This window comes from Homo sapiens, chromosome 1, assembly GCF_000001405.40.
Source record: "Homo sapiens chromosome 1, GRCh38.p14 Primary Assembly".
NCBI lineage: Eukaryota > Metazoa > Chordata > Mammalia > Primates > Hominidae > Homo > Homo sapiens.
Genome location: NC_000001.11, coordinates 52,333,439 through 52,348,256, shown reverse-complemented (window position 1 = coordinate 52,348,256; position 14,818 = coordinate 52,333,439). Strand labels below are relative to the sequence as shown.

At 43.3% G+C, this 14,818-nt stretch overlaps 1 protein-coding gene across 4 annotated transcripts in view; it reads right to left on the bottom strand.

Annotated features, from left to right (window-relative positions):
* Nucleotides 1-1,622: 1,622 nt before the first annotated feature.
* The window catches only part of ZFYVE9 (zinc finger FYVE-type containing 9), a 204,546-nt gene continuing 191,350 nt past the window's right edge, over nucleotides 1,623-14,818 (bottom strand). For all 4 annotated transcript variants that reach the window (NM_004799.4, NM_007324.5, XM_047434674.1 and 1 more), the window contains 5 exons: nucleotides 13,489-13,569; nucleotides 10,323-10,485; nucleotides 8,026-8,131; nucleotides 3,313-3,489; nucleotides 1,623-2,197 (listed from right to left, as the gene is read on the bottom strand). In NM_004799.4, coding sequence (NP_004790.2) covers nucleotides 2,036-2,197; nucleotides 3,313-3,489; nucleotides 8,026-8,131; nucleotides 10,323-10,485; nucleotides 13,489-13,569 — 689 coding nt within the window. In that variant the 3' untranslated portion in view covers nucleotides 1,623-2,035. The remainder of the gene's footprint in view (nucleotides 2,198-3,312; nucleotides 3,490-8,025; nucleotides 8,132-10,322; nucleotides 10,486-13,488; nucleotides 13,570-14,818) is intronic.

The following is a 14,818-nucleotide window of genomic DNA, read 5'->3' as shown; positions in this document are numbered from 1 at the left end:
TTGAGGCTGCAGTGAGCTAAGATTGTGCCACTGCACTCCAGCATGGGTGACAGAGTGAGACACTGTTTCAAAACAAAACAAAGCAAAACAACAGTCCATGAGTGTATAATGAAAATTAAATGAATAAATTGGGAAGGAAGGGCTTCTGCTTATAGTAGATTACCAAGTGCAACCTGTAAAGCTGGAGAATGCGCTAGAATTGGAAAATCATTTTGCAAACATAGTAAAAGATCAGTGCAGGTAAGAAACATCAATGCATGCTAATTTAACGGGACACTTTCATAGGCAAGAGATTTGCATGGTCTGAAAGTCTACATATACTGGTTATAAGTTCCAGGTAGGGGGATATACAGAGAAGTTGGACACCTTGACCAAGTGATCAAAATTTACCACTATCAATGAGGGGGCAGATGGATATCAAGTCATTATGGGCAAAAACACATAAACTGATTCTAAATATGAGGAAATATCAAACTGAGTTGTTTTCTGTTAAAAAAAAAAAAACAGGGTGGGGTTGGGGGTGGCTACATTCACCAAAAATATCAATGAGGCTGAGTGCGGTGGCTCACACCTGTAATCCTAGCAGTTTGGGAGGCAGAGGATGGCGGATCACTTGAGATCAGGAGTTGGGAGGCAGAGGATGGCGGATCACTTGAGCTCAGGCCTGGCCAACATGGTGAAACCCTGTCTCTACTAAAAATACAAAAAAATTATCTGGGGGTGGTGGCGGGCGTCTGTAATCCCAGCTACTCCGGAGGCTGAAGCAGGAGAATCGCTTCAACCTGGGAGGCGGAGATTGCAGTGAGCCGAGATTGCACCACTGCACTCCAGCCTGGGTGACAGAGCGAGACTCCGTCTCAAAAAAAATACATATCAATGACATAAAAGATCAAGATGAGTCATGACAGCCATAGCCATGTCTGATTCTATACTGGAAGGTTTACTGGAGGGAAAAAATGCTACAAAGAACATCACTGGGCAGATGCCAGGTTAAAGTATCAAATCCATGTTTGACTGAAGTAGAGAACTGTCCTACAGTTGTGTAAGAGAATATCCTTATTTTTAGGAAATAAGCATTTAGGAGGAAAGGCCTATGATGTACGCAATTTACTCTCAAATGCCTCAATTTTTTATGGAGAAGGAGAAAGGGAGAGAGAAACCCTGACAAATCAAATGGGACAAAATGTTAATAAGTGAACAAGAGGGGAATCTGGGTAAAGTGTGCGTGGGGTTTTTTGTACTTTCAACTTCCTAGAAGTTTAAATTATTTCTCAATAAAATGTATTTTTAAATTCCTCCAGTATTTATAACTAAAAATGTCCTGGGTGTATTCCATCAGCATTCACAGAAATACCCAGTTGAATACCTGCCATCCACACGGGCAGATCTCCAGCAATCCTGAACTCACCTCTGCTCTCCACATGACATTTACACTGAGTTGCCCTTCCGAAACTGGAAGAGTAGATTAAGCCCTTGAGTCTTCGATTCACTTCAATGAATAATCTGGTAAAAACAAAAATCTAAGTGTGACTTCTACTTGATAAACAGCTGTGATGTAACTGGGACAAGATCAGTGTGGAATTATCCTTTTTATACCAATTCTGTACAAAGAGTGCAAGAACTGATGCTTTATATTTTATTTCCCCTCTGCCCTCCCATCCCACCCTTGGTGATGGTTGTACCCATTTGAGCATTTCTGAGCACATGACCATAAGTAAATCTTGAGAGAGGAGCGGAATTCTTGTCTAAACAGTAACAGAAGGGGATTAGCTGCAAGGATAGCATAACTGTTGTGCAGGAACAGAAGCTGCCCAGATCTTCTTGGTGGACAATGCATAGAAGACTTAGAATTATGGAACATCGGTCCCCCCAACCACCCTTTCCCACCCGTCTCCCAAACCCCCACTCCCACCCTATTCCCCACCCCATTAATAGTGTTAACAAAAGCTTAATCTTCCAGTTTTAAAGTGCAAATGATTTGGGTATGACTGCTGTTGCAACAAGTCTGAACAGAAAAAAATGAAGTCTTCTCTGTTTATACGATGTTTTCCAGAATATAAAAGATGAGTTCCATGACAACGGGGCCCTCACTAAGCTGGCAGGCCCCTCCATGGATCACCGGCACCAAGGCGCTGTCCAGATCATTCATGTACTGCGAGGGAAGGGGCTGGCCATTGCTCCCTGCTTGATAGCCAACCTATACCACAGAGAGAAAAGGAGGAGAGGTTACTGAACAGAGAAGGCCTCTCCAGGGCTGAGGGCAAGGAGGCTGAGCAGGAAAGGAGATGTCCTTTTTGGCCATAGGCTAAACATATGGCAGTGAATACAAATTTATCCTCTTTTCTGGGTGATCACTTATCCTGTTGTTTACTCCTCCTGACCACTTGACAACCATGAGGCACTGGGTAAGCCACTTAACCTGTTATGGTCTTAGTTTTCTGGGGAAGGGTAGAGGTGTGTAAAAAGGTATGGAGTATCAGAAATAATACCTTAATCTTTGGTTGTGAAAATTAAAATGAGAAATACACAATGTACAGCTCCCTAACCTAGTAGGAACTGAATATTTGTTCTTGCATCCATCTGTTCATCCATGCACCATTCTGAGCAACTACAAATGCAGGGATCCAAAGATGAATGTAACAGGGCCCTGCCCTCAAGAGGCTCACATATTTAGCAGAAAAATGCTTGTTCTTTGTTTTATGTGAGATAGGACCAGAATACTTCATTAGTATAGCATTGGGCAAGCCGTTAAGCAGAAAATAAATATTTGTTGATTGATGACTAGTCAGGAACTGGGGCCAGACACAGAACCTTTCATCATTCCCTGATAATGGCACAACCCTGTGATCAGGAACCAGTTTCTCCTCATAAGCACTCAGGCCAGAAGCAGCTTGCTGGGCAGAATTAACACTCACTCAGTGGGGAAGGGGGATCAAGCTGAGCCTACACCCAAGTTCCAAGTGACTCGGAGCTAAAGGGTTGAGGGAACAGAGAGGTCTGGCAATTTGTAAACATCAAGGCAGGACCTGGCAGGTCCTACCACATGCTCCCCTCTTTACCCCACACTAAGAAGGAAACCAGCTCCTTGGAAGGCATGCAGGTGAAGAAGCCACAGTTCAAATGGTTCTGAGAGAATCTGACCAAGCATCACATGTGGGTATAGTACTATTAAAGAGAGGGCCAAAAACACTATATCCAGTCAGGCCAGAAGGTCGGAGAATTAAGCTCTCTGGGGTGATGCAGAAAAACTCACGTCAGAAATACAGACGTTGCCCAAGGCCAGCTTTAAAAGCTGCGGAAGACACATCATACCTGATCTGAGTCAAGTGTCACACGTAGTCCCAGTTTGGTCATTCCATCTTCCTTCAGAAGTTTCAGGTGAGGACAGAGAGCAAGGCAAAAAGCTTTGGCAACATGCTCAGTCAATCTACTGTGATCTGCAGGATCACTGAGGCAATTGTGCTGGTCATCGTTTTCTAGGAAAAACACCTGTTCCCCAAACAAAAGAGACTTTTAAACTTGTGCCTAGATTTTGGGAGAAGTAGATTAGCTCACTGTATATGAGCACCCTGATTCTCCAAGATGTGCAAGAAGACATGACAGGAACAGGACACCATAAAGTCCCTGGTCCAGGAAAAGTTGGGCATTTGTCTTCCACCTAAAAAAAAAACAATCCCTGTCTCTCCATCTCTGCATCCACAAAATGACAGCAGCAGCCTGCCTAACTCCCTGCAAGCCTCCATGGTTGCAATGGCACATTCTTCTCAGAACTAGAAAAGGCCTCCATTTTGCATTGTATGCCACTAAAAGGTAATCCCTGTATGTGGACAATTTACCTAGAAAATGATCTTAAGTCTAAGAGAATGGCTCTTATAGCTGACGTGACCCAGCTGCTTTATTTTACAATTAGTCTTAGAAGGGAATTGACTGGCTCAAGGGCACAGAAGAATTTAAGAGACAGAGGAAGAGCCAGGCTGAGCCTGGCATCTGAGCCTTTTATTGCAGAGCTTTTTCCACCACACAGCCCTGCCACTATAGAGGCGGGAACTGTGTCAGCACTGTGCACAGGCAGAAGTGGAACACACTTGGAACTGATGACCTAAGTCCTAGCACCATAGAGGAAGGGTCATGAGCAAGTCCGTTAGAGGACTAAAGGAAGTTAAAGGACTTTTTTTTTTTTTTTTTGGAAACAAAGTCTCACTCTGTCACCAGGCTGGAGTGCAGTGGCATGACCTCTGCCCACTGCAACCTTTGCCTCTTAGGTTCAAGTGATTCTCCTGCTTCAGCCTCCTGAGTAGCTGGGATTACAGGCATGTGCCGCCATGCCTGGCTAATTTTTGTATTTTTAGTAGAGATGGGGTTTCACCATGTTGGCCAGGCTGGTCTTGAACTCCTGACCTCAGGTGATCTGTCCACCTCGGCCTCCCAAAGAGCTGGGATTACAGGCATGAACCACCGCACCTGGCCCAAAGGACTTACTTTATTTTTTTTTTGAGATGGAGTCTCAACTCTGTTGCCCACCGCCCAGGCTGGAGTGCGGTGGTGCGATCTCAGTTCAGTGCAACCTCCACCTCCTGGGTTCCAGCAATTCTCTTGCCTTAGCCTCCCAAGTAACTGGGACTACAAGTGTGCACCACCACACCTGGCTAATTTTTATATTTTTAGTAGAGACGGGGTTTCACCATGTTGGCCAGGTTGGCCTTGAACTCCTGACCTTAGGTGATCCTCCTGCCTCAGCCTCCCAAAGTGCTACGATTACAGGTGTGAGCCACCGCACCCGGCCCAAAGGACTTCTTTTTTTCTTTTTTTTTGAGATGGAGTCTCGCTCTATTGCCCAGGCTGGAGTGCAATGGCACGATCTCGGCTCACTGCAGCCTCCACCTCCCAGGTTCAAGCGATTCTCCTGCCTCAGCTTCCCAAGTAGCTAGGATTACAGGAGCCTGCCACCAAGCCAGACTAATTTTTGTATTTTTAGTAGAGATGGGGTTTCACCATGCTGGCCAGGCTGAGGACTTCTTAATAATTAATTTGTCTCGGCCGGGCACGGTGGCTCATGCCTGTAATCCCAGCACTTTGGGAGGCCAAGGAGGGTGGATCACAAGGTCAGGAGATCAAGATCATCCTGGCTAACACGGTGAAACCCCGTCTCTACTAAAAATACAAAAAACAAAAAACAAAAAAAATTAGCCGGGCGTGGTGGCAGGTGCCTATGGTCCCAGCTGCTCAGGAGGCTGAGGCAGGAGAATGGCGTGGACCTGGGAGGTGGAGCTTGCAGTGAGCCAAGATCACACCACTGCACTCCAGCCTGGGTGACAGAGTGAGACTCCGTCTCAAAAAAAAAAAAATTAATTTGCCTCTGTAAAGTGGAAAGCACCTGACTTCTCTGGTTATTGTAAAGATAAAACTATATAAAGGCAAAATATAAGGCCGGGTGCGGTGGCTCACACCTGTAATCCCAGTACTTTGGGAGGCCGAGGCGGGCAGATCACAAGGTCAGGAGTTTGAGACCAGCCTGGCCAACATGGTGAAACCCTGTCTACTAAAAATACAAAAGTTAGCTGGGTGTAGTGGCACATGCCTGTAGTCCCAGCTACTCAGAAAGCTGAGGCAGGAGAATCGCCTGAACCCAGGAGGCAGAGGTTGCAGTCAGCCGAGATTGCACCATTGCAATCCAGCCTGGGTGACAAGAGCGAGACTCCGTCTCAAAAAAAAAAAAAAAGGCACTTTGGGAGGCCAAGACGGGCGGATTGCGAGGTCAGGAGATCGAGACCATCCTGGCTAACACGGTGAAACCTCATCTCTACTAAAAATACAAAAAAAAAAATTAGTCGGGCGTGGTAGCGGGCGCCTGTAATCCCAGCTACTCAGGAGGCTGAGGCAGGAGAATGGTGTGTACCCGGGAGGCGGAGCTTGCAGTGAGCCGAGATTGCGCCACTGCACTGCCGTCTGGGCGACAGAGCGAGACTCTGTCTCAAAAAAAAAAAAAAAAGGCAAAATATAAAAGACACAGAAATGCAAATACACGATGTTTCTATATAGCAACCCCTAGCTTACTGCTCCATAAGGAACTTACACTGAGAGGACTACAAAGGAGGCAGCTCCGAAGCCCCGTACCTGGATGCACTGGAGAGTGGTGGCATGAAATGACCGAGTGGGAGTCAGGAGACCTGAGCGCTGGCCCCTGCTCTGCCATTAACCAACATCAGTCACAAAGTTACAGTCACATGACCTGTTTGAGCCTGTCTTCTCATCTGCATCTTAGGATGGGTAGCTTGCCTACCTCACTGCTACTGGGGAGCAAAAAGGAGGGAACAGAGGTCAAACTGCTTTATAAGCCATAAAGTGTTTTACACGTTCCAGACTCTGCACTGCTCAAAATGTGTCAAAGGGACGAATCATTACATAGCAAGCAACTAAAATCCCTTGGCTGCATATGAAATCATGGAGCCTGTTATGCAGGATGAGTCCCTTAGGACTACTGCTCAGAACTGGAGAACCAGGTCTCATCTCTGCTATCAGGAACTAGCCATATGAATTTGAGTAAGAGATTTAACAACCCTGGGTCTCTGTTTCCTTTTGTGTGAAATGGAAAAGCCAGAAGTCGTAGAATTTTTTTAAAAAAACATAAGAGTTTCAAAGCTGAAAAGAATCCTAGAGATCTTATAATTTAATCCTTTACAAATGAGCATACATGAGGTTCAAAAGTAATAAAGGGATCTAAGATCTACCAGCTTACGAGAACTTTTAAAATTTTTTTCGTATTTTATTTTTTCTCAGACCTCTTGGGGATGAAGAGAATAAACTTTCTGATCTATATGACATGTACATACAAAAAAGGGTCACTGCCCTGCTCCTCTCATTCCCAGGTGAGCCTCTAATACAGCTTTCAAGTTAAGGAGCAAATTAATACAGTGGGAAAGAGCTTAGGAGTTGGCCAGATCTGGGTTTTAATCAGGATTTTATCATTATTTATTTGCCTTGTAATCTTGAGCAAGTTAATTAGTCTCTGAGCTTTAGTTTTGTTTGTTTGTTTTTGGAGACGGAGTTTCGCTCTTGTTGCCCAGGCTGGCGTGCAATGGCACAATCTCGGCTCACCACAACCTCCACCACCCAGGTTCAAGCGATTCTCCCACCTCAGCCTCCTGAGTAGCTGGGATTACAGGCATGCACCACCATGCCCGGCTAATTTTGTATTTTTAGTAGAGACGGGGTTTCTCCATGTTGGTAGGGCTGGTCTCAAACTCCAGACCTCAGGTGATCTGCTCACCTTGGTCTCCCTCAAAGTGCTGGGATTACAGGCGTGAGCCACCACACCCGGCCTAGTTTTTTTTTTTTTTTTTTTTTTTTTTTTTGAGACGGAGTCTTGCTCTGTTGCCTAGGCTGGATGGAGTGCAGTGGCGTGATCTCGGCTCACTGTAACCTCTGCCTCCCGGGTTCAAGTGATTCCCATGCCTCAGCCTCTCAGGCAGCTGGGACTACAGGTGTGCACCACCATGCCTCGGCTAATTTTTGTATTTTTAGTGGGTATGGGGTTTCACCATGTTACCCAGGCTGGTCTTGAATTCCTGACCTCAAGTGATCCACCCACCTCAGCCTCCCAAAATGCTGGGATTACAGGTGTAAGCCACTGTGCCTGGCCTAGTTTTCTTATTAGTGAAATAAGTATTTTTTAAAGACCGTCATGTTATCTAAAATAGTTTATAAGTACAGAATAACTGACCCAGCTTTCTGAAGAATACAGCAAAGATGGAATGTACCACTCAGAGATCTACTCTTCTGGAGTTCCAATGCAAAGAAATATCTAAAAGTTAGTTCACAGGAAGGAGGATACATCAGACAGGTGCAGGCTGCAACTGGCAGCATTTCTTCCTGGTGATTTCAGATAGGAATTGTAGTATAAACGAGAAAGATTTTTCTCAGAGATATTTTTTTCTTATCCTACAAAGTCAACCCAGAATGTGGCTCTTGGCCTAGCAAAAAGTTGTGCTCAAAGTGGGTCAAGTATGCCAAGTTTCATTTCCTTACCTCTGTCCATCTGATTACTTTTCCATTTGCTTTATATTCTGATCCATGGAATATCTTCACATTTGTTATAGTCTCCATGGACTTCCCATCTATAGGACTTACGACACTAAAATAGAGGCAAAGGAAAGATAGAAGCAGCTCTTGAAGTTAGAAAAGCCATTTTTCCTATCACGTTTTGCTGCAGAAGTCTTCCTGCTAATTACACTGGGTACCCTGCTGAACACACCTGTGCAGCACATCATAGCAAGAAGCAGCCACTGTATAAAAATGTACATGAACTGAGCTCTTGGGAAAGAATCTATGCACTGAAATAGTTCAAAGAACACACATGCAAAAAAGGAATCATTTTTCCAGGAGCTAGTTCTCTTTAACGTAAAGAAATTGATTAATCAAACCTGCTCTTCTTCCAGTATCCCTTCTTTCAGTGAATGCATGGTCACCCACTCAATCTTGTTTTCACTCTGCTCCTGACTCTGTAATGATACTTGTCATGATATATTCTTCATGTTTGCATACCTGACTTACAAATGAACTTCTGAAGGGGAGGGAATATGATATATTCCCCTCTATGTGCTTATATTCCCATTACTGACCCACTGCTTGGAACTTAGGAGTCTAATAAATATTTATTAAGAATCATTTGCTGGGCATGGTGGCTCACGCCTGTAATCCCAGCACTTTGGGAGGCTGAGGTGGGTAGACTGTCTGAGCTCAGGAGTTCGAGACCAGCATCAGCAACATAGCAAAACCCTACCTCTACTAAAAACACAAAAAATTAGCCAGGCAATAGTGGTACATGCCTGTAATCCCAGCTACTGGGCAGGCTGAGGCATGAGAATCACCTTGAACCTGGGAGGCGGAGGTTGCAGTGAGCTGCGATCGCACCACTGTACTCCAGCCTGGGTTACAGAGCAAGACTCTGTCTCCAAAAAAAAAAAAAGGAATTATTTGACCAAGTTGCTAATTATGACAGTGCTAGTGTAAACAAGTATCTATGTATCTGTCATAACACCTTCCCTTTAGTGCTAAATTATCACTCCTAGATTCCTAAACAAAAAGGCCACTTCTGATAGTCATTTCCTCCCTGAAATACAAGTATAAATACATGGAGATACACATTCATTCTGATTAGGATTCAAAATAATTGGCACACAGATTCTAAACTTTCCCTAACAATTTTCAAACCTGTTTATGTTCTTGAATCTCTATTTTTTTTTTCTTGAGACAGAGTTTCGCTCTTGTTGTCCAGGCCGGAATGCAGTGGCATGATCTCGGCTCACCGAAACCTCCGCCTCCCGATTCAAGTGAGTCTCCTGCCTCAGCCTCCTGAGTAGCTGGGATTACAGGCATGTACCACCACGCCCAGCTGATTTTGTATTTTTAGTAGAGACGGGGTTTTTCCATGTTGGTCAGGCTGGTCTTGAACTCCCAACCTCAGGCGATCCACCTGCCTCAGCCTCCCAAAGTGCTGGGATTACAGGCGTGAGCCACCACACCCGGCCAAATCTCTATGTATTAAAAGTCGAATCTAACTTAAACTTCCATATCAGGCATTCACTTCATTTAGTCAAAATTACTTGAATTTAAGTTTAATTTCTAATTCATCAAATAGCAATGTTAAAAACAAAACAAAAAAAGAGCACCCTTTGTTGTGTAGAATCCTTTGAGAAAGGATACAAAGTTCAGTTTGTAATGTATAAATGCAATGTTTTCCAGCTTGTCCCTGAATGTCTGGGTATGAGAGGAAGAAAGGGGTGAGGGGGAAAGAAAAGTGTCAAAGATGTCTCCAAGGTTTTGGCTTGAACCATTAGAATAGAGTTGCCGAACACTGAGAAAGAATACAGAGTTTGAAGCCCAAGAAGGTGGTTTTCAGAGCTAGTCTTATCACTTCCTAGCTTTGTAGACCTGAAAAGTCACTTAGCCTTTTGGTACTTGTTTACTCATTTATAGAATGGAAATGTTAACACCTGTTATTGTATCAAACAAAACAATGTTGGCAAAAATGTGTTGTAAATCTTAAAAGGCTCAGGTATTACTGTTATCTCAATAACTATAGAGGGACTTTTTTGTTTCATCAATCCCTCTACTTATACTTCCCTCAAAAATACATACAGAAACTCCTTCAGAAACTAACTTACAAAACCAGAAATTTAAAATTCTACGTTAAGCATACAAAGCAGTCTTTCTCTTAGGCAGGGCTTTCAGTAAAACTATAAAACACCAATGTAGACAGCAGACAAAACCCAGAGCCTAACCTATAACTAAAAGCCACAAAGGGGGACATGTGCTGCATTTACCCCTTGCTAACGTTCTTGTCATCATCCACCCACTGGATGTGGATGTGCTCCTGGGGTTCCTCCGCGTCCGCCTTCCCACAGGTGATGGTGAAGTCCTTCATCTCTCGCAGTGCCTGCCTCAAGGAATCCATGTTCTCTGCAGTAATCTGGACCATAACACCATCTAAGAATCAGTACAAAGCCAAAGGAGAGGCAAATGAAACACAGCACCTGGCATCTAGCAAATTCCTCCGAGTTAAATGTAAACCTTAGCTCTGCTTTCCAAAGCTGACTGATACAGAGGTTTTGCTCTTTGAGCTGAACCTCTTACTGAAAGTGTTGTGAGAAGCAATGCCAAGATTAAAACACATGCTTGTTGATTTCACTTCAGACACAACTAAGAATTTCTCCTGAGACTACTTAAGGGGAAAACTTAAACACAGTCACATTCTTCTTCTGGACACACTGAATATTTTGTTCCTGTTTTCACTCCTGCATTTATCATCCTCTGGTCATATTCATTTGTTTGCATCTCCATCTCTCTCACCTTACTATGACTGCCTGGCATACAGTGAATGCCCAATAAATGTTTGCTAAATAAATCACTGAATAAATTATAGTAGTGGGCTTGGAGATAAATCCATTTATTGACTAGCAAATAAGGCAAACCTACCACAGAGTTTCATATGGGCTACCAGATAACCAACAGATGGTAACTTTTTCAGCTGCTACCTACCTGAGTTGAAGGCAAACACTGAAATTGACAGTAAAAGTTGTCACATGCTGAGCAATTACTCTGCTTCACTGACACACAATGAAATAATTTCTAAAGAGTCTCAATAACAATTTCATAGTCAGCCAATCGCTCCACTGAAACACACAAGTGAAATGCAAGACCCAAGAAATTCCCAAGCCAGACACATAAACACATAATTTTTAAACACACTGCTTTGAATTGGTAAGGATCTGTGTCAGGTCAATTTATCTTTTTTTTTTTTTTTTTTTTTTAAGAGATGACTGCCCAGGTTGGAGCGCAGTGACTATTCACAGGGACGATCATAATGCACTGCAGCCTCAAGCTCCTGGCCTCACAGGGTCCTCCCACCTCAGCCTCCCAAGTAGCTGGTACTATAGGTGTATGCCACCATGCCCAGCTCATTTTATCATTTAACAACATTTAAGGGGTGTTTTAAAATCACCTTGTGAAGTCACAATTTCAACTATAGTCAACACTTCATCATATAGGCTTTAACTAGTTGCTTTAGACCAAATGACTGTTTAACTCCTAGATTAATTAAGCTGGGTGTGGTGGTTCACACCTGTAATCCCAGCACTTCGGGAGGCTGAGCCTGGTGGATCATTTGAGGTCAGGAGTTCAAGACCAGCCTGACCAACATGGTGGAACCCCATCTCTACTAAAAATACAAAAAAATTAGCTGGGCGTGTTGGCGCACAACTGTAATTTCAGCTACTCAGGAGACTGAGGCAGGAGAATCACTTGAGGTAGAAGTTGCAGTGAGCCAAGATTGTGCCACTGTACTCCAGCCTGGGCTACAAGCCTCCATCTTAAAAAAAAAAAAAAAAAAACAAAAAAAACCTCTTAGATTTCATAACAATTTGTTAACGGCATGTTTCTGTTTTGTAGTCAAGAGTTGTAAATTTTAGTTGTAAAATATTAGTGCACTCTGTGTTTCACTCACTGTTTTATTAAATTTACCAAAAGAAGACCAAAGCTAGTATCTATAAATATATGTAAGATTATCTACGTATTTCAATCAACACACTGGAATCCAGCCCTAAGAAAGGACCTTTTTTTTTTTTAAAGATAGAGTCTCACTCTGTCGCCCAGGCTGGAGTACAATGGCACAATCTCAGCTCACTGCAACCTCTGCTTCCCAGGTTCAAGTGATTCTCCTGCCTCAGCCTCCCAAGTAGCTGGGATTACAGGCATGCGCCACCACGCTTGGCTGTTTTTTGTATTTTTAGTTGAGATGGGGTTTCACCATGTCGGCCAGGCTGGTCTCCAACTCCTGACCTCAAGTGATCTGCCCCCCTCGGCCTCCCAAAGTGCTGAGATTACAGGCGTGAGCCACCGCACCCGGCCTAAGAAAGGACTGTTTTTACACAGAGCTTTGGAGTGAGCTACTGTAAAAATGAAAACCTGTCATCATGTGAGGCAGACTACATTTTCCATAAATGGTCATATCTCCCATCTCATTTTTCTACAATGCTATCTTCCCATTCTCCCATGTAGAAGTGAAGTCTAATTTCCCTCCCTTTTTCCAACACCAGAGTATGGTGGAAATGACACAATATAACTTTAAAGGGTGGGTCACAAAAGGCAATGCAGCTTCCACCTTCTTGCTAGAACATTCATGTTTGGAGTCCTGAACCACCATGTAAAAAGTCCAGCTATCCCAATGGTATCAAGCCATGTTAAGGAGTCCCCACGTAAGTACCCCAGTCACCACTCCTAGTCTTTAAATCATCCCAGGCCAGGCCTCAGACGTGTGTGTGAACAAACCTTCATATAATTCTAGCTCCCAGTCATCAGATAACTTCAAGTGATCCCAACTAAGACTCCAAACATCATGAAGCAGTGTTAAGCCATCCCTGCATTGCCCTGTCAAGATTACTGATCTAGAGGATAAGCAAGCATGATAAAATGGTTGTTTTAAGCCATCTGTTATGAAATAAGAGTAGCAAAATCAAAACACAATGAATAACCAACAAAGAAAATAAACGGTGTGCCAATTAGCTTTTAGTTTAATTAACTTTTGTCAACATATGTGTCATGTCTAATTATAGCACACTAGCAGCAAGCACATGCCATTTTGTACTCCAAATGATGACCACAGCATTCTTGTGGACAGGACTTTCATCTACACATTTAGATATTAATATTTCCACCCAATGATATATTTGAACTCAGACTACATGCCCTCAGGTACCTTATCCCAGAGCTCTGAAAGGCCATCTCCTAGTTTTAATGTCATTGTCACATGGTATCCCTACCACTTACTCCTTTCTTCAGAGAACTAAGCACTCTCATGGCAGTTTTAATTTGCTGAAGAGATGCTACTGAAAAAACAGTAGGAGTCAGACATCTACAGCAGAAGTGTAAAGGATTCCCTTTATGTACATAAGTTCAGTCCTTATTATGAGGACTGAACAATTCATTCTTTACCTTCCACAATACTGGACTTGGCAAGGTATCCAGAAGAGGATTTCAGAGCGCCACTGAACACAAAGAAACTGGCACCAGTCACTAAAACAGCAATAGAAATAGTTTAGTAAGACAGACCCTAAGCTGGAGGGATTGAAAATAATAACAAAATATTCAGAAGTTGAGAATTCCGACCATCATCACACAGAAAATTTTAAAAAATCAAATCTATATTCCACAATAAACATGTAACCAACAATTCTGATGCTTACAACAGCTTTGGGAACTAGGTTTTAAGATACACTCCCCCATTTTGTTTTGTTCTTCCTCTAATTAAGAATCCAAGTATCTTACAAGAAAAGGAATCTTAATGGTTGAGGTCAGGGGGTTGGCAAGCTATAGCCTGCCTGGCCTCCAGCCTGCTTTTGTAAATAAAATTTTATTGAAACACAGCCATGTCCATTCATTTACTTATTGTCTATGGCAGTTTTTGCACTATAATACTAGAGCCGAATAGTTGTTGACAAAAACCACAGCTTGCAAAGTCTAAAATATTTATCATTTGGCCCTTCACAAAAAAAGTTTGCCACCCCCAATCTAATCCATTGATTTTCAGATTTTTTTAGATCAAATATATTCTGAAGATAGAAATATGGTTGCCAACTATTTTATCTGCTAAGTTTTTTTTTTTTTTTTTGAGACGGAGTCTCGCTCTGTCACCCAGGCTGACGTGCAGCGGTGCTATCTCTGCTCACTGCAAGCTCCACCTCCTGGGTTCACGCCATTCTCCTGCCTCAGCCTCCCGAGTAGCTGGGACTACAGGCATGTGCCAGCATGCCCCGCTAACTTTTTTGTATTTTTAGTAAAGATGAAGTTTCACCACGTTGGTCAGGCTGGTCTTGAACTCCTGACCTTAGGTGATCCACCCACCTCGGCCTCCCAAAGTGTTGGGATTACAGGCGTGAGCCACCATGCCCTGCTTTTTTTTTTTTTTTTTTAAGAGACAGGGTCTTGCTATGTTGCCCAGGCTTGTCTTGAACGCCTTAGCTCAAATGATGCTCTCGCCTTGGCCTCCCAAAGTGCTGGGATTACAGGCATGAGCCACCGCGGCTGGCCTAACACGGGGTTTCTTAGATTAAATCTATTAAACAAGACTTATTTTTTCATGTGAAGTTTTTAACACCATGGTGCCTGAGAAAACACTTTGGGTAACGCCTCTTGAGCAATGCTTCTCAAAGTCGAATGTGCACTTGAATCACACAGAGATCTCGTTAAAATGCAAATTTTGATTAGTGAATCTGGGGTGTGGAGACCACATTCTGAATAGCACTGAAACCTCCTTCAGAATCCT